The sequence below is a fragment of the Homo sapiens genome, chromosome 20 (assembly GCF_000001405.40).
Source record: "Homo sapiens chromosome 20, GRCh38.p14 Primary Assembly".
NCBI lineage: Eukaryota > Metazoa > Chordata > Mammalia > Primates > Hominidae > Homo > Homo sapiens.
Window position 1 is genome coordinate 2882831 of NC_000020.11, and position 19401 is coordinate 2902231.

The 19401-nt window shown below is 40.8% G+C and overlaps 1 protein-coding gene across 28 annotated transcripts in view; it reads left to right on the forward strand.

Annotated features, from left to right (window-relative positions):
* Nucleotides 1–19401, forward strand: part of PTPRA (protein tyrosine phosphatase receptor type A) — a 174486-nt gene that overhangs the window by 18647 nt on the left and 136438 nt on the right. Inside the window, exon 2 of one of the 28 annotated variants that reach the window (NM_001388321.1) lies at nucleotides 3460–3592. The exons of the other annotated variants lie outside the window; for them this stretch is intronic. The gene's annotated coding sequence lies outside the window, so the exon portion shown is untranslated. The remainder of the gene's footprint in view (nucleotides 1–3459; nucleotides 3593–19401) is intronic. 28 annotated transcript variants of the gene reach the window in all.

Sequence of the window (19401 nt, forward strand, 5' to 3'; positions counted from 1 at the left end):
ACTTATTTGTTAATTATCTTGTGGTAGAGTTGTTGATGAGTTTTGCATTTTTCTTTTTTAAAAAAATGCCAACTTTTTGTTATGGTAAGTGGCTACAGTTTGAGTAATCCTAATATGAAATCCAAAAGGCTTCCAAATCCAACACTTTTTTTTTTTTTTTTTTTTTTTGAGACAGGTTCTCACTCTGTATGTAGCCCAGGCTGGAGCGCAGTGGCATGATCATGGCTCATTGCAGCCTTGACCTCCTGGGCTCGGGTGATCCTCCCACCTCAGCCTCCTGAGTAGCTGGGACTACAGGCATGCACCACCATGCCCAGCTAATTTTGCAACCAGTAGGAATAATGCAAATAGTACAAAATCTGAAAAATACCTAAATCTGAAACACTTCTGGTCCCAAGCATTTCAGATAAGGAATACTCAACCTGAACCTAGCAAATATCATTTGAAAAAATAATATCTTAATCTGTCTCTTCAAGTAAAAGTATTATTTAAATAGTGAGTGAAAAAGGAACTACTTCTTTTCTTAGAAAGAAATGTGCAGGCCGGGCGCGGTGGCTCACGCCTGTAATCCCAGCACTTTGGGAGGCCGAGGCGGGCGGATCACGAGGTCAGGAGATCGAGACCATCCTGGCTAACACGGTGAAACCCCGTCTCCACTAAAAATACAAAAAATTAGCCGGGCGTGGTGGCGGGCGCCTGTAGTCCCAGCTACTCGGGAGGCTGAGGCAGGAGAATGGCGTGAACCCGGGAGGCGGAGCTTGCAGTGAGCCGAGATCGCGCCACTGCACTCCAGCCTGGGCGACAGAGCGAGACTCCGTCTCAAAAAAAAAAAAAAAAAAAAAAAAAAAGAAAGAAATGTGCAATGGTAGAGCGTTTTCCTCGTTGGAATTTTTTTTACATGTAATCATTATAAGCTATAACTTACATATTATAAAATTCTCCTTTTTAAAATGTACAGTTCTGTGGTTTTTTGTATATGCATAGAGTTGTGCAGCTTTTGCCACTGTCTAGTTTAAGAACATTTCATCACCCCAAAAGAGACCCTGCACCCATTAGCCTCACTTCCCATTCTCTCCTCCCTCCAGTCCCTGGCAACTACTAATCTTCCTGTTTCTTTGGATTTGCCTATTCTGGACATTTCATATAAATGAAATCATACAATATGTGACCTTTTGTAGCTGGCTTCTTTTACTTAGCATAATGTTTCTGGGGTTCATTCATGTTGTATCATGTATCAGTACTTCATTCCTTCTTATGGCTGAATAATAATCCATTATATTGATATACGACATTTGGCTAACTGGTTCATCAATTGATGAACATTTATTTGTTTCTACTTTTTGGCTTTATGAATAATGCTGCTGTGAACATTCATGTATAAATTTTTGTGTAGTCATAGGTTTTAATTTCTCTTGGGTATATATATATACCTAGGAGTAGGATTGCTGGGTTAAACGGTGACTAACTTTGAGGGGCTGTCAAACTGTTTTGTAAAGTGACTACCCATTCCCAGTAGCAACTCACAAAGGTTCCAGCAGCAATACAATAGGGGTCCAGTTTCTCCCAGCAATGCTTAGGGGTCCCAATGTCTCCCATCTTTGCCAACATTTGTTACTCTCTTTTTGATTATAGCCATCTTAGTGGGTGTGAAGTTGTATCTCATTGTGGTTTTTATTTGCATTTCCATGATGATTTATGATGTGCATCTTTTCATGTGCTGTTGGCCGTTTATGTATGTTCTTTGGGGAAATGTCTGTTCAGATACTTGGCTCATTTTAAAATTTAGTTATTGCTCTTTTTATTATTAAGTTACTTATATATTTTTAGATATAAGTCCCATATCAGATATACGATCTGTAAATATTTTTTCCCATCTGTGGGTTGTGTGTTCAGCTGTTTGCGTGGACATATCCTTTTGGGTAGATCTAGGAGTGGAACTGCTGAGTCAAATGGTAACTCTCTGGTTTTTTTTGTTTTTTTTGTTTTTTTTTTTTTTTGAGACGGAGTCTCGCTCTGTCGCCCAGGCTGGAGTGCAGTGACACGATTTTGGCTCACTGCAAGCTCTGCCTCCCAGGTTCATGCCATTCTCCTGCCTCAGCCTCCCGAGTAGCTGGGACTACAGGCGCCCCCCACCACATCCAGCTAATTTTTTGTATTTTTAGTAGAGATGGGATTTCACAGTGTTAGCCAGGATGGTCTCGACCTCGTGATCCGCCCGCCTCGGCCTCCCAAAGTGCTGGGATTACAGGCACAAGCCACTGCGCCCGGTTTGAGGAACCACTGACTTTGTTGAGGAACAGAAAGAACGCCTGCACCTTTTTACAATCCCAGCAGCAGTGTATGAGTGTATCAGTTTCTCCATATCCTTGTCAACACTTGTTGTTTTTTTTAACTGTAGCCATCCTAGTAGGTGTAAAGTGGTATTGCATTATGTTTTAATTTGCATTTCCTTAATGACTCATGATCTGACTGTGATTTTGTTGCATCTATAAAATTCTCATAATTTGACACATGAAAACCTTAGAAACAATTTTGTAACCTAATAAAAATCTCCAAATGTGTTTCTAAAAACATTTCCAGATGATCTAATGAAGTAAAGAATCTAGGCATTGGTCACCAGTGGCTGTTAAAACCATTAGGGAACTTTATAATAAAGGGATCAGTGTGACAATCTTCTGATCAATCATAACATCTCTAAAATTGGGACAACCAAATCTTATATTCTTTCTATGTGATACTAGGAAGAACATATCATTCATGAAATAGTCTTGCTTGCCCCAACAAACAGAGTCAAACCTTCCTCTGATTAGTGTAGATCTGATTACTGGTTTATAGGATATAATTGGCAAATTTAGAATGTGAAAAATATTATAGGACAAATGAACCCATTTACTTCAAATGAATGGCAAGAAAAAAAAAGTACACGAACTGCTACAGATTAAAAAAGACTTGAGGCTGGGCGTGGTGGCCCACGCCTGTAATCCCAGCACTTTGGGAGGCCAAGGTGGGTGGATCATGAGGTCAGGAGTTCGAGAACAGCCTGACCAACATGGTGAAACCCCGTCTCTACTAAAAATACAAAAATTAGCTGGGCGTGGTGGCACGCACCTATAATCCCAGCTACTCGGGAGGCTGAGGCAGGAGAATTGCTTGAACCCAGGAGGCGGAGGTTGCAGTGAGATCATGCCACCACACTCCAGTGTGGGCGACAGAGCAAGACTCTGTCTTGGAAAAAATAAAAAAGACTTGAATGAAACATATTAATTGAACATAAGTATAGATCTTGTTTAGATCCTGTTTCATGCAAACCAACTGTAAAAAGTTATTTATGAGCCCATTGGGAGTAATTTAAATTTGAAAACCACTTGTATATTAGATGATTTTTAAACAATTTTAATTTTTTAAAGGTTATTATAGTAGTATGGTTACATTAAAAAGAAAGACTCCTTTCTCTTACAGATAGGTACTGAAGTATTTTGGATGAAATGATGTTGATATCTGGAATTTGCTTTAAAATAATTCAGCATGTTTGGAGGATTACAGACGAGACAAGAATTGCCATACGTTGATAATTATTGAAGCTGGATAATAGGTATATAAGGGTTTATTATAGTATTTTCTCTACTGTTGTATATGTTTGAGAATTCCCATAGTAAAAAATTAAAAGAGAAACCACTGTAAGGGAAGAGTTTTAGTGGATTTCATGTCCATTTGTTAGAAATAGAAAAATGTGGCCAGGCACGGTGACTCACACCTGTAATCCCAGCACTTTGGGAGGCCGAGGCGGGCGGATCACCTGAGGTTGGGAGTTCGAGACCAGCCTGACCAACATGGAGAAACCCCCGTCTCTACTAAAAAAAAAAAAAAAATACAAAATTAGCCTGGCATGGTGGTGCATACCTGTAATCCCAGCTACTCGGGAGGCTGAGGCAGGAGACTTGCTTTAACCTGGGAGGTGGAGGTTGCCCTGAGCCGAGATCGCACCATTGTACTCCAGCCTGGGCAACAAGAGTGAAACTCTGTCTCAAAAAAAAAAAAGGAAAAGAAAAAAAAGAAAAAGAAATAAAAAAATGTAGTATCTTTGATTAATTTTCAAAAGTATATCACAGAAGATAGATATTTGCTAGCCATATTTAAAAGGAAATATTTGTATAATGGGGGTGAAAAAATGATTATCACAGTTTAGTAAACACAGCCATAGTGCTTCTTCCTTTGGATTCATGTTTCTTTTTGGTTATGATAGCATTAAAACTTGGAATCAGGCTTTTAAATTGCTCTATAATATATTAAAATGAGATTTTTCAAACATAATGAGAAATATTTAATCATATGGATTGCACTAAAATATTTTTAAGATGGGTTTTACATTACTATTTTAATTGATGGAAGTACCATTATTGTGATCATTATGTATTTCATTTGAAATGTTTTGTAGTATTTATAGGTATTAGTACCTGTGTTCTGTTTATAAATGAACATGTGTTGGGGATGTATACTCTTATTTATTGGTGGATGTGCAGTAAAAGGTTTGTTTGTGGAGAACGGACTGGGCAGGGTATAGAGACTTATTTGATGTTTATTAGAGCAAATGTGGCCAGTGATGATGGTGTTCTGGATTGGCTTAGGGTGGGAGGAGTGGTGATAGGGATGGAGATACATGGACAAGTATGATTTAAGCAGTAGAGGCATTAGGGTTCTAGATTTCTGGCTTTTTGGAAGAGATGATTGCTAGTTAATGAACTGAGCTTTTGTGTGTGGGAAGAAGTTGAAACCTGGCCCCTGTGAATTGTGCAAGTAGTTCTTAAATATTGATTGACAAATAGCTTAACGAGCAACTAATTTTCAAATATTGGTTGACAAGTGGCTTATTACAATATTGTAAATGCATTGATACTACCATTAGTAAAGAGAATGTCTTCCTTTGATAATGTTAGCAGCACTGTTACCAGAGCAGTGTGGGATAGTTCCAGGACTTTCACTGTCTAAAAGGAACTGGAGGCCCAAGCTTTTACGGGGATACTTCTGCTCTCCTGGTTCCCATGTCCCCAGTGATGTGAATGTCCCTGACTCAGTGCCTCTGCTCACGCTGTCTGTGAGATCACTGCCTTCCAGTGCCTCTTACCTCTTGGGCCTGCCCACTTTGTTAACAGGGACAGATTTCACAGTGATTTCCAGCCAGTATTTCTCTCTCCCCAGTTTGGGGTGTTAGCTAGAATGGTCCCTCAAAGCCCTCAAACACGGATGAGAAATAGAAGAAGCTCAGGGAGACTATACCTGGGCTAGGTTCTTGCTACCAGCTGGTGGAAGACAAAGAAAACCCCTTTTCTTCCTGTATTTCATGCCCAGTGAGCAGTAGTGCCATCAGCAGCAGTTGTGAACCCCTAAATCAGTGATTCTCAATATGACTGACATGGTGGGGAAGACGTAAGTTTGAAAATGCATTTTCAGGCTAGGTGTGGTGGCTCACACCTGTAATCCTAGCACTTTCGGAGGCCAACATGGGAGGATCACTTGAGCCCAGGAGTTCGAGACCAGCCTGGGCAACATAGTGAGACCCTGCTTCTACAGAAAAATAAAAGCTAGCCAGGTGTAATGGCATGCACCCATAGTCCTAGCTACTTGGGAGGCTGAGGTGGGAGGATTGCTTAAGCCCAGGAGATCAAGGCTGCAGTGAACATACCACAGCACTCCAGCCTGGGCAGCAGAGTGAGACCCCTGTCTCAAAAAGAAAAAGCATTTAAAAAAAAAAAAGGTTTGTTAGTGTTTGTCTCAAAATTTTGCTTAATTTAAAATTATGTATATATTTGAATAATATGTGTCCATGTTAATAGTTCTAAAAGTATATATAGTATATATAGTAAAAGGTAGTTTTCTCTCCCCCTGCCTTTCAGCTTTCCCTTTCCATAGGCATCCACAAGTACTATGAGCAATACTTGTGAAACCATGCTGAAATACTACATGCTCATAAAATGTAAGTTACTTAAGTTTGGTATTTCAAGTAACAATAAGGGAAGATAGGAGAGTTTTATGTTTATCAAAAGGGGTGAATGTTATAGCAGATTGAGATGAGATGTTCTTACCTTTGGGTGGGATCTTAAGTGGAGCTCAATTCGGTTTCCCCAATGTTAGTGGGAGAGATTACTTAAACCATCCATACTTATCCAGTTGTACTTGGTAAGTTTTCAAAGGTTCTACTTTGAAGAGGGCTTTTGTTGAGCAAGTAGTGGTTAATAGAGCAGCTCAGTTACATGTGTAAGTTTTTTGATGTGGGAAAAGGGCTTTTGTATACAGAAGGACTATTTTAAAATTATTTGGGCTTTAAATTAACATGTATTAAAGTGGTAAATTTAAAACCCAGTTTTCTTTTAGTCTTGTTATTGTACTTGTAAGCATAGGCATTTTGTATAGAAATAAGAATAGTAATTTTCACCTGCTTGTCAATTAAGTTAATATAAATTTAACAGATTTAATTGCTCCAGGCCCCTTACTTAGTGAATTAAATTTCCTTAGATGTTTAAAATACATTTACACAGTCAGTCTGTCAGGCACAGTCAGTCCTTGACAGGTCAGAGTTACCACCTTAAACAGAAACTTCTTAAGCTCTTGGGCAATCTGTGATACTAAGAAATTAAATTTGTAAATGTAGTAAAACAGGTTTTGGTTAAGACTTCCAGTGCTTTTCATTAGCTGAATCTGAATTACCAACATTTAAAAAACACATACCCTAAACTTAACGCAAAAGTACTACTAGTACCATGAGTTTGATATACCATACCTCATTTTATTGCTCATGTCTTTTCTTTCTGGGATTGTGATGCCACTTACCCAATTAAGGAGGACAGTTTTATCATCTCAGAAAGCCATGGTTATCAGATTAAAAATACAGAATCATGATACAGTTATTATTGGTCAGAGATTTGAGACTGGGAAAGGGAACTAAGGGGTCTGTGTTTCCAGGATAATTCTACTCAAGAGATGCTGTGCCTTTCCTTATGTTAAGAGTCCTGAATGTGGCATCAAAGGGGGAATCCATGTTCAGAGTTTGTTTTGCAACCCCCCATACCTTTTTTTGAGACAGGATCTTGGTAGGTTGCCCATGCTGGTGTGCAGTGGTGCAATCATGGCTCACTGCAGCCTTGACCTCCTGGGCTCAAGTGATCCTCCCGCCTCAGCCTCCTGAGTAAGTAGCTGGGACCACAGATGTACGTCATCATGCCCAGCTAATTTTTTGATTTTTTTTTTTTTTTTGTAGAGATGAGGCCTCACTATGAGCCTAGGATGATCTCAAATTCCTGGCCTCAAACAGTCCTCCCGCCTCAGCCTGCCCAAGTGCTGGGATTACAGGCATAAGCCACCATGCCTGGCCTTTTCTTCAAAAATAACCCTTCAATCAATTTTTTTTTTCCTGGTCAAATTGGATTTTGTGTTTCTTTTATATATTCCTTGTCAGGCCCTACAGTTATTTTAATTTTGGGTGTTGGATAGACTAGGGTTCATATTCCATGCCTGCCATGCTTTTTGTGAACTTGGGCAAAATAGTTAGCTCTTCTGAGACTCACTTTTGTCACCTAGTAAATGGGTTCAGCTGTAGTACTCTATGTATTTGTTTGTTTTAAGCATTAGATAGTGCGTGGTAAATGCTTAGCACAGTTCTTAGCACATAGTAAATCTTTAATAAATGTTAGAAAATATAATGATCTTGATTCTCTGTCTTCCCTCCCTAGTAGTTGATTTGGGGCACAGTGTAGCATTATTTGAATTATCACAGAATAACTTTTTACCTTTCTGATTTTAACAGGGGAGAGTGTGTAAAGGATGGGAGAGGGAAGAGAGAAAAAAGCTGAGTAAATGTGATCAACTTTACAGTCTTTATTCCCTGAACTATCTTTCCCTGAGTTATGTGACACATTCTCCTTGTTTTCCTCTTTCTATCTTTGTGGCCACTCCTCAGTTCCCTAGGCCCCTCTTCTTTGACCACTCCTTGTTTGAGTTACCAAAGATTCCATCTCTGGCCTTCTTGTGTTGATTCTACACGTTCTTCCTGGAAGCACATGTCCATGGTTTCAGCTTCCTTGCTAATTAGGAGAAACTTTGTCCTCAGAACCCATCTGGATTACAGCCAACAGCCTACTGGTCTCCATTGGGCTATCTCCCAGGTACCTATAACAGTCTCAGAACTGACTCATCTTCCTTTTCAGCGTGTTATTTTTATAATCTCTATCTTGATGAATGGCACAACACAGTGACCCAAACTGGAAACTTGAATGTTGTTCATCTGGTTGGTGATCTGTTCCTAACTGTTTTACATCTGTAACATTTCTCAAATTTGCCTATTTTCCACCATTTCTCCTATCCCTTAATTCAGGCTGCTTCTCACCTAGATGACTGCTGCAGGTTCCCTTGTTGTCTACTCATTATTAGTTTCTCATTCCAAGTCATTGATTAGATGGCTGCCAAAAGTGATCTCTTTAACTTCCCAACTTTAGATTCTGTGAATAAAATCCAAACTCCTTAACAGAGCAGGCCCTCATGATCCAACTCCTCTTAACGTTGGTAGCCTTATCTTTTCTCTGAGCCCACTGCCGCTTGATCCTTGGTGGTGCTGTGCTCTTTCTTGCTCTCTGTCTTTGGTTGGACTGCCCACCTCCCTCCTTCTTACTTGACATTATAATTTATCAGATAGAGATCAGCTCCTCCAGTCAGCATTTCCTTACTGACTACTCCAAGTCTGACCCAGTGTAGATTCTGTGCTTATATCTGTCAAGTCACTTATTGTATGATAATTCATACACTTATATGATAATTCACACATTGGCATGTGTAGATTAAACATTTATAGTCTCAGAAGGATCCTGATAGTCCAAAAGGTATAGTAATGCAGTTGTCTCTTAGTATCTTCAGGTGATTGATTCCAGGATCCCCCCCATGGAGATCAAAATCCAGGGATACTCAGGTGCCTTATATAAAATGGCATATTTGCATGTAACCTATGCACATCCTCCTGTGTACTTTATAGGCCCTAAATAATCTCCAGATTACCTATATGGCTAAAACAATGCAAATACTATGTAAATAGCTGTTATACTGTATTTTTAAGTTTGTTTCTTATTTTATGGTTTTATTTGTTTATTTTTTTGATCTGTGGATGTGCAACCCACAGATAGAGAGGGTCAACTGGGCCGGGCGCGGTGGCTCACACCCGTAATCCCAGCACTTTGGGAGGCTGGGGTGGGAGGATTGCCTGAGGTTAGGAGCTCGAGACCAGCCTGGCCAATATGGTGAAACCGTGTCTCTACTAAAAATACAAAAATTAGCCAGGCATGGTGGCAGGTGCCTGTAATCCTAGCTACTCTGGAGGCTGAGGCAGGACAATTGCTTGAACCTGGGAGTTGAAGGTTGCAGTGAGCCAAGATCCTGCCATAGCACTCCAGCCTGGGCAACAGAATGAGACTCTGTCTCAAAAAAAAAAAAAAAAAAAAAGAAGAGAGGGCCAACTGTATGTAATTTACTGAAGCATGGATTCACATTATAGATGGTCCCTGATTTATGATGGTTCAACTTATGATTTTTATACTATGATGGTGGGAAAGCTGGTGTGATATACGTATTCAGTAGAAATTGTACTTCCAATTTTGAAATTTGATCTTTTCCCAGGCTAGTGATATGCAGTGTGACAATTTCTCATGGTGCTGGGCAGAAGCATTGACCCACACCTCCCAGTCAGCCATGTGATCAGGAGGGTAAATGAGTATACTCCATGGTGTACTGTGTTGCCAGGTGATTCTGCTCAACTGTATGCTAATGTGAGTGTTCTGAACACATTTAAGGTAGGCTAGGCTAACTATGGCATTCGGTAGGTAAAGTGTGTTAAATGCATTTCCTACTTAAACGATATTTTCAGTTTATGGTGGGTATATTGGAATATAGCCCCATTGTAGGGCAAGGAGCATCTTTATTTACCCAGTTGAGTTTAGTGGCAGCAGAACTAAGTTCGGTTTAGCTGTTCAGTGAGCCAAGCCTCACTTAGCATCTAATTCTGTCTTTATTTTCTGCTTTAGATAGGCCACAGCTCTCCTGAAGGGATTAAGACTTTCTGTGTGAAAAATGGTATTCAGAAGGAAGCCAGCATTAATTCTGTTTTTATACATTTATGAAGATTTGAAGGAATTTCACTGTCAATTCTGTCTTAATTGTATTCTGTATAATAAATCATAATGGTATCCAACGGCTCTTGAAAGGTTTGGTTTTTGTGAACATTTCTTTGAATGTCAAAGTTGTATTAGTTTGTTTCTCAATTAAACTGGGTGCTCTTTGAGGGCAGGGATTTATGGGACTTGTTTGTTTTGCAGTTTTATATCTCCAGCTGCTAATGCAGTGCCTGGTTTGTAGTAGGAATGAGAGATTTACTCCAATAGAACCATACTAAAGATCTTACACTTATGGATTACAGTTGATAGCTTTGTAGAGTGAACTGGTATTCCCTTTAAATGAGACGACATGACCTGAGTATAAAGTATAATCAACTACATGACTCCAGCAAGAATACCATGTGTCCCTCAGATAGCATAGCTGGCAGATGGAGTTATGCACATCAACTGGACATTTAAGACAGCTGGAGATTTCTTACATTTAGATGACAGTTTAGATTAGAAATATTTAATCTTAGCTGTACTTAATATATTATGTAGCTATATGATACATCATGTATATATGGTATATCATATATATCATATATTTAATCACATTTAATCCTTAGCTATATTTTCATCCCCAAAATGGTATATGGATCTGTTTTTATTGTCAGCTGGTTATTTATTGTTGCTTATCCATGGCTCATGAAAATCTTCATGTTACTTGGGAAATCTTTCACTCTGCCTTTTGAAGGACAGCCCAGAACCATTTCCTTCTTGGCACATGACCTTCTAACCCAGTGACCAAAGAGTATGTAAAAGCATGGTACACACTGCTTTTGAAGATTACGTGTGTCTATTCTAGATGTGTCTTATTTCTTGCAGATATATTGCCTACAAAGATTTTGATATATATATATACAGTAGACTATACTATATAATTAATATTTATACCAGATATTAAATATATAAGCATTCTACTAGAACTAAAGTTAAGAATTTGAAATAGTCTCATGTGAGTAATTAAAATAACAATAGCATCTTTTTCAAGAAAGTTTTTTTTAATATGGTGGAGATAATGACATGGAAAAAAGTAGTTAATTATTTTTGGTATTCCCGTATTTCATCAGTAGGTTGCCATAGAACATAATAGTTATATAATCAAACAGCAGAATAATTTTATATGAGGTTTATTGATACAGAAATGTTTGGTTCAGTGTTTGTCTTCCAGTTTTGCAGATTTTCTTTTCGATTTTAAAACTGGAGAATACATTAAAACCAGAAACTTTCAGCCTCTATAATGCCCTCAAAACTCAGCAGGTTTTGAAAATGCCTCTTCCTTCTCTTCTCCTCCCCATAATCCTGCTTATTTTTGGCATTAAGTGAGTCAGGGGTTCCAAACCCAAATACGTTTTTCAAGGCTATGTAGTCAGTGTGAATGAGAGAAGTAAATCTGTTGGGTCCTGTGCCACACTGGAGTTTCCAAGGCTGGTCTAAATGAGTTCAACTTCAGTTTTTTTGTGTTTTTTTAGAGATGGAGTCTTGCTGTGTTGCTTGAGCTGGTCTTGAACTCCCGGGCTCAAGTGATCTTCCAGCCTTGGCCTCCCAAGGTGCTAGAATTATAGGCATGAGCCACTGTGCTGGCCAATTTTTTTTTTTTTAGCCCACTGTGCTACCAGTTTGTGATCTTCACTTTAACTGTGAAAGGACTGTCAAAGATTGTACGTATAAGATTTAGTTTGAGAGCCAGGCCTGGTGGCTCATGCCTGTAATCCCAGCACTTTGGGAGGCTGAGGCGGGTGGATCACGAGGTCAGGAGATCAAGACCATCTTGGCTAACACGGTGAAACCCCGTCTCTACTAAAAATACAAATAAATTGGCCAGGCGTGGTGACGGGCGCCTGTAGTCCCAGCTACTCGGGAGGCTGAGACAGGAGAATGGGGTGAACCCGGGAGGCGGAGCTTGCAGTGAGCAGAGATCACGTCACTGCACTCCAGCCTGGGCGACAGAGCGAGACTCCTTCACCCAAAAAAAAAAAAAAAAAGTAGTTTGTCTTTCTCTTTGAAACTGAATTCATTAAACAAAAGCCTAAATAACTATACTATTACTTGTTATTTATTTATTTATTTATTTTAGACAGAGTCTTGATCTGTCAGCAGGCTGGAGTGCAGTGGTATAATCTTGGCTCACTGCAACCTCTGCCTCCCAGGTTCAAGTGATTCTCGTGCCTCAGCCTCCTGAGTAGTTGGGACTACAGGCATGCGTCACCACACCCAGCTAATTTTTGTATTTTTGGTAGAGATGGGGCTTCACCATATTGGCCAGGCTGGTCTAGAACTCCTGACCTCAAGTGATCCACCCACCTCAGCCTCCCAAAGTGCATAAGTGCTGGGATTACAGGTGTGAGCCACCACACCCAGCCTACTACATATTCTTTTAGACCCAGCTGAAATATCACGTAATTGCTGAAGGCTCCTGAACTCTTCCAGATCAGGGATTGATTTTCCTCATTTTAAGATTGTCATGACAACTGTAGTATTGATAACTGTATTTTATTTTATTTTATTTTTTTTGAGACAGAGTGTTGCTCTGTCACCCAGGCTGGAGTGCAATGGCACGATCCTGGCTCACTGCAAACTTAGCCTCCTGCGTTCAAGCAATTCTCGTGCCTCAGCCTCCCAAGTAGCTGGGATTACAGATGTGCACCACCAAACACCTGGAATTAGTCTGGCTAATTTTTGAAGTTTTAGTGGAGATGGGGTTTCCCCATCTTGGCCAGGCTGTTCTCGAACTCCTGCCTCAAGTGATCCACCTGCCTTGGCCTTCCAAAGTGCTGGGATTACAGGTGTGAGCTACCGCACCCGGCTTATTAACCAATTTTTAATGTTCAGCACAACTTGATCATGATGTACAATGTCTTTTTTATGTTATGTGTTGATGGAGTCAAATTACCGATATTTTGGTTCAGTTTTTTCAATAAGAGATCAGGCTATTTTCTGATTTTCATTCTGTTTTTTTCTTTGATCTGTATGTATTTATAAGTGTCTCTTATTTTCAAATAGGTTTTTTCTAGTTATCTTTTTGTAACGGATTTATAGATTATACATTGTGGTTAAAGAATATGGTCTATAGGCTGGGCACGGTGGCTCACACCTGTAATCCCAGCACTTTGGGAGGCTGAGGCAGGGGGATCACTTGAGGTCATGAGTTCAAGACCAGCCTGGCCAACATGGTGAAACCCTGTCTCTACTAAAAATACAAAAAAAATTTAGCCGGGCATGGTGGTGGGTGCCTGTAATCCCAGCTACTAGGGAGGCTGAGGCAGGAGAATCGCTTGAACCCGGGAGGTGGAGGTTGCAGTGAGCCGAGATAGTGCCACTGCAATCCAGCCTGTGCAACAGAGGGAGACTCCGTCTCAAAAACAAAAACAAAAAACAAACGAAAACACACACACGCAAAGAATACGGCCTACATGCACTTTCAGTCCTTTGGAAATTGTTGGTATTTATTTGCCATTTGGCCTAGTTTACCCAGATTCCACAGGTTGTTAATGTTGTACAATTGCGTCTTCTCTTTCTCACTTCACCCATCTATGTAATTTTTCTGAATCATTTGAGAAATAAGTTGCAAACATAATGCTGTATTACCCATAAATCAGGGTGTGTTTCCTGAAAACAAGGATACTCTCCTATAAAATCAGGAAATAAATATTGATATAATACTGCCATCTGATTCACAGACCCTACTCAAATTTCACTGATCTTCCAATTATGTCTTTTATAGCAAAAACAAAACAACAGAAACCAACAAAATTCCCTCAAGAAAACAAAAGCAGAAAAACTTCCCTTTCCCCTTCACTTATTTCTGATTCAGGGACCATTCAGGATTATGCCTTGCGTTTAGTTGTCATGTCTGTTCAGTCTCTTTTAATCTAGAATAGTTCTCAGTCTTTCCTTATTTTCAGTGATCCTAATATTTTTGAAGAGTAGAGAATTATTTTGTAGCAAGTCCCACAATTTGGGTTAGTCTGATGTTTCCTTTTGAATAGATTTAGGTTATGCATTTGTGGCAGGAATACCAAAGACACGATATTATGTTCTTCTCACTGCATCGTATCAAGAGGTTCATGTCAATTTGTCCAATTACTGGTTATGTTTAATTTTACCACTTGGTTAAGATGTTGGCTGGCAAGTTTTTGTAAAATTAGTTTAGAGGTATTTCATACTTACTGGTTAGTAAGTAATAATGCATTTTGTGGGGTGATGCTTTGAGACTATATAAATAGCTTATTTCTCATCAAATTTTTGCTTGCTAGTTTTACCATCCATTGGTGATTTGTGCCTGAATCAGTTATTATAGTGGTTGCTAGATGGTAAATTTAAAAAATTTCATTATTTCTTCTGAATTCATCACTTGGCATTTCTTTTTTTTTTTTTTTTTTTTTGAGACGGAGTCTCGCTTTGTCACCCAGGCTGGAGTGCAATGGCGTGATCTCGTCTCACTGCAACCTCTGCCTCCCAGGTTCACGTGATTCTGCCACCTCACCCTCCCAAGTAGCTGGGGTTACAGGCACCCGCCATCATGCCCTACTAATTTTTGTATTTTTAGTTGAGATGGGGTTTCACCATGTTGGCTAGGCTGGTCTTGAACTCTTGACCTCAGATGATCTGCCCACCTTGGCCTCCCAAAGTGCTGGGATCACAGGCTTGAGCCACCGTGCCCAGCCAATCACTTGCTATTTCACTCTAAGGAAAAGCTTTCTCTCTCTGGTTTTTGTCTTTGTTTTTGTTTGTTTAAAAATCTTTTAAACATATGAGCACAGCCTCATTGATTCTTATTTTGTTCCTTTTTCATGTATTTTTTGATATTCAAATTGTCCCAAATTTGGCCAGTGGGAACCCTTTCAGGCTGGCTCCTGTGTCCTTTTTCCATGTCCTCATCATTCTTTTTTTTTTTTTTTTTTTTTTTGAGACAGAGTTTTGCTCTTGTTGCCCAGGCTGGGGTGCAATGGCGTGCTCTTTGTTCACTGCAACCTCCACCTCCCAGGTTCAAGCGATCCTCCTGCCTCAGCCACCCAAGTAGCTGGGATTGTAGGCACCTGCCACCACACCTGGCTAATTTTTCTATTTTTGTTTTTATTTTTTTTATTTTTTGAGACGGAGTCTTGCTCCGTCGCCCAGGCTGGAGTGCAGTGGCGCGATCTCGGCTCACTGCAAGCTCCGCCTCTCGGGTTCACGCCATTCTCCTGTCTCAGCCTCCAGGCATGCGCCACCATGCCCGGCTAATTTTTTTGTATTTTTAGTAGAGACGGGGTTTCACTGTGTTAGCCAGGATGGTCTCGATCTCCTGACCTTGTGATCCGCCCACCTCGGCCTCCCAAAGTGCTGGGATTACAGGCGTGAGCCACCGCGCCTGGCAATTTTTCTATTTTTAGTGGAGACAGGATTTCACCATGTTGGTCAGGCTGGTCTCGAACTCCTGACCTCAGGTGATCCGCCCGCCTTGGCTTCCCAAAGTGCTGAGATTATAGGCATGAGCCACCACGCCTGGTCATGTCCCCATCATTCTTTGATCACTTTTTTTCTTACTTTTTGGAATAATAAGATTTTCTGTGGGCTGGGCGAGGTGGCTCACGCCTATAATCCTAGCACTCTGGGAGGCCGAGGCTGGTGGGTCACCTGAGGTCTGGAGTTCGAGACCAGCCTGGCCAACATAGTGAAACCTTGTCTCTACTAAAAATATAAAAATTAGCCGGGCATAGTGGCACACACCTGTAGTCCCAGCTGCTAGGGAGGCTGAGGCAGGAGAATTGCTTGAACCCGGGAGGCGGAGGTTGCAGTGAGCTGAGATTGCGCCACTGCACTCCAGCCTGGATGACAGGGCGAGACTCCGTCTCAAAAAAAAAAAATTTCTGGGCTCATCTTTACTTTTGTTATCTCAGTCGTGGAATCAATAATTTTATCAGGGAACCCTGGTTCCTTTTATTAGTGAATGTACTTAGAAAATAAAATATGTGCACTACTAGATATGTTCTTTCTATTGGGGTGTTCTTCCTTTTAGGCTCTATGTGAGGAGAGAACTAGAATATTGTTTTAAAATGTACCAGGTAATCCCAGCACTTTGGTAGGCTGAGGCAGGCAAGGCTGGCAGATCACTTGAGATCAGGAGTTCGAGACCAGCTTGGCCAACATGATGAAACCCCATCTCTACCAAAAAACACAAAAAGTAGCCAGGCGTGGTGACACGCACCTATAGTCCTAGCTAGAGTGAGATAGAGTGAGACCCTGACTTAAAAAAATAAACAAATAAATAAAATATACTGGAATTTAATTTATAGGTATGAATGACACAGAGAGGCCAATATTATTGAAAATGTGTTACTCACAGTTCTTCTGAAACAGCAGGCGCACCATACTATGCAGGACCACATGGGGAAGCACCAGGGTGGGTCAGGAGGCAGAAGGAACCAGAGGAAAGGATGGGTGAGTTTTTTTTTTGTTAAAGTGCTAGAAAGTTGTTAGGTGGGACATCCCCTATTGAGCAGAAAGAGAAACACAAATGTTGAGATTTGTGGTTGGACGGTTTGTAATATGATTTTTGTGTAGCCTCAAAAACACAGAGATGGTATGAATGTAAACAACTTTGGTCGTTAATTTGGCCCATCCTTTCAAGATGCCAAATCATCAATTACAGAATATCAAGAATGATTATATAGGTATGTATGCATGTCTATACATACATATATACATCTGTATCTTCCTGTAAATAATGAAAGCCATGGTTTCATTCCAATACTCTTAATTCTAGTCCAACACAATAGGGTTTCTTCTGGTGTTTCCCTTTTCTGACATTGAAAAATCTGAGGCCAGGCACAGTGGCTCTTGCCTGTAATCCCAGCACTTTGGGAGGCCAAGGCAGGTAGATCACTTAAGGTCAGTTGCTCGAGACCAGCCTGGCCAACATGATGAAACCCCATCTCTACTAAAAGTACAAAAGTTAGCCAGGTGTTGTAGTAGTGGTCGCCTGTAATCTCAGCTACTCGGGAGGCTGAGGCAGGAGAATCGTTTGAACCCAGGAGGTGGGGGCTGCAGTGAGCTGAGATAGCGCCACTGCACTCTAGCCTGGGCGACAGAGTGAGACTCCATCTCAAAAACAAAACAAAACAAAACGAAAAATCTGCCTCCTTTTTTTTTTTCATTCATTCATTAATTCTTTAGATGGGGTCTTGCCCTGTCACCCAGGCGGTAGCGCAGTGACACGATTATAGCTCACTGTTGCCTCAAGCCATCCTCTCGCCTCAGACTCCTGAGTATCTGGGACCATACAGGCACGTGCCACTGTGCTTGGCTCTCACATTGTCCTTTTTACTCACCTTCCTGTTGGTGACAATCTCCTGACTATGTAGGCCATTTTCTTGCCCCCAGCCCCACTGAATGAGCTGGCTGATCACTCCTTCAAGTTCCATGAGCCATTGTTACATACAGGTAGTACTCAGTTTGCTTGGTTTTGATATTCATAAATTTCCATTGCTGTGGTTTAATTAAATAATGCCAGTCCTCAAATAGCAGTTAATGAAATACAAAATATAACCTGTGATCAAGAAAAGCTTCTCAGGTGGGCGTGGTGGCTCATGCCTGTAATCCCAGCACTTTGGGAGGCCGGGGCGGGTGGATCACCTGAGGTCAGGAGTTCGAGACCAGCCTGACCAACATGGTGAAACCCCATCTCTACTAAAAATACAAAAAATTAGCTGGGCGTGGTGGCAGGTGCCTGTAATCCCAGCTACTTTGGAGGCTGAGGCAGGAGAATTGCTTGAACTCAGGAGGCATAGGTTGCAGTGACCCAAGATCAAGCCATTGCACTCCAGCCTGAGCAACAAGAGCGAAACTCCATCTCAAAAAAAAAAAAAAATAGCTTCTCCAAAATTTTAAAAATTTACCCTGACCCTGAAATAGTTGATTGTTCCCTCCCTAGACATCATTCAGTTGGAGCTAGCCTAATTTTGTTTTTTTTGTTTTGTTTTGTTTTGAGATGGAGTCTTGCTCTGTTGCCCAGGCTAGAGTGCAGTGGCGCGATCTCGGCTCACTGTGACCTCTGCCTCCTGGTTCAAGTGATTCTCCTGCCTCAGCCTCCAGAGTAGCTGGGATTACAGGCGCGCGACACCACACCTCGCTAATTTTTGTATTTTTGGTAGAGACAGGGTTTCACCATCTTGGCCAGACTGGCCTCGAACTCCTGACCTTGTGATCCACCTGCTTCGGCCTCCCAAATTGCTGGGATTACAGGCATGAGCCACCGCACCCAGCCTTTTTTTTTCCCTTGAGGAGAATTACAGTCTGCACTGCTCTCAGCTGAACTTTACACAGCTTTTACATTTCCCTCTGTCAGTTCCTCTTGTAATGGTGGGTGGGTAGCTGAAGGGAGGATATGTACAATAATGTATTTTTAGTTCCTTTGAACAGAGAGGTTGCTTCAGCCATTGCTATTGATGGCAGGAAGTATATTTATAGCTCCAGGGAAGGAGGGGTAGTACGACTGCTGGTTTAAGAAAACCTGGGAGATTGTATTTAATATATGTTGTTAAAACTCATTTGTACTTTATTGTAAGTTCTTGCCTTAGAAATGCAGCTGAGATGAATGAACCTGTTACTTATGTTATATTGTTACTTATGTTATATATGTTATATGTATTATTGTAAGTATATTGACTCTGCTCCCTAATTTGGAAAAATCTTCCGTTTTGAAATTTTACAATATACAATACCTAAAACAAAGAGTACTTCTAGAGCATACAGGATGTATGTGGAGAATTCAGGTGTTAGCATGCAATTGAACAGTAAAGATACTGACTAGCAGTATAAATATCGTCCCCATTTAGATATTTTATTCATAAAGTTCTTGTTGGTGTAGCTTTTATTGTGATTTTTTCTTTTTTTTTTTTGGATACAGAGTCTCGCTCTGTCACCCAGGCTAGAGTGCAGTGGCGCAGTCTTAGCTCACTGCAACCTCTGCCTCCCAGGTTCAAGTGATTCTCCTGCCTCAGCCTCCCGAGAACCTGGGACTACAGGTGAGCATTACCACACTGGCTAATTTTTATATTTTTAGTAGAGATGGGGTTTCACCATGTTGGTCAGGCTGGTCTCGAGCTCCTGACCTCAGGTGATGCACTTCCCTCGGCCTCCCAAAGTGCAGGGATTACAGGTGTGAGCCACTGCGCCTGGCCAATTGTGATTTTTTTAAAGATTGAAACCAAAATATTTTATACAGATC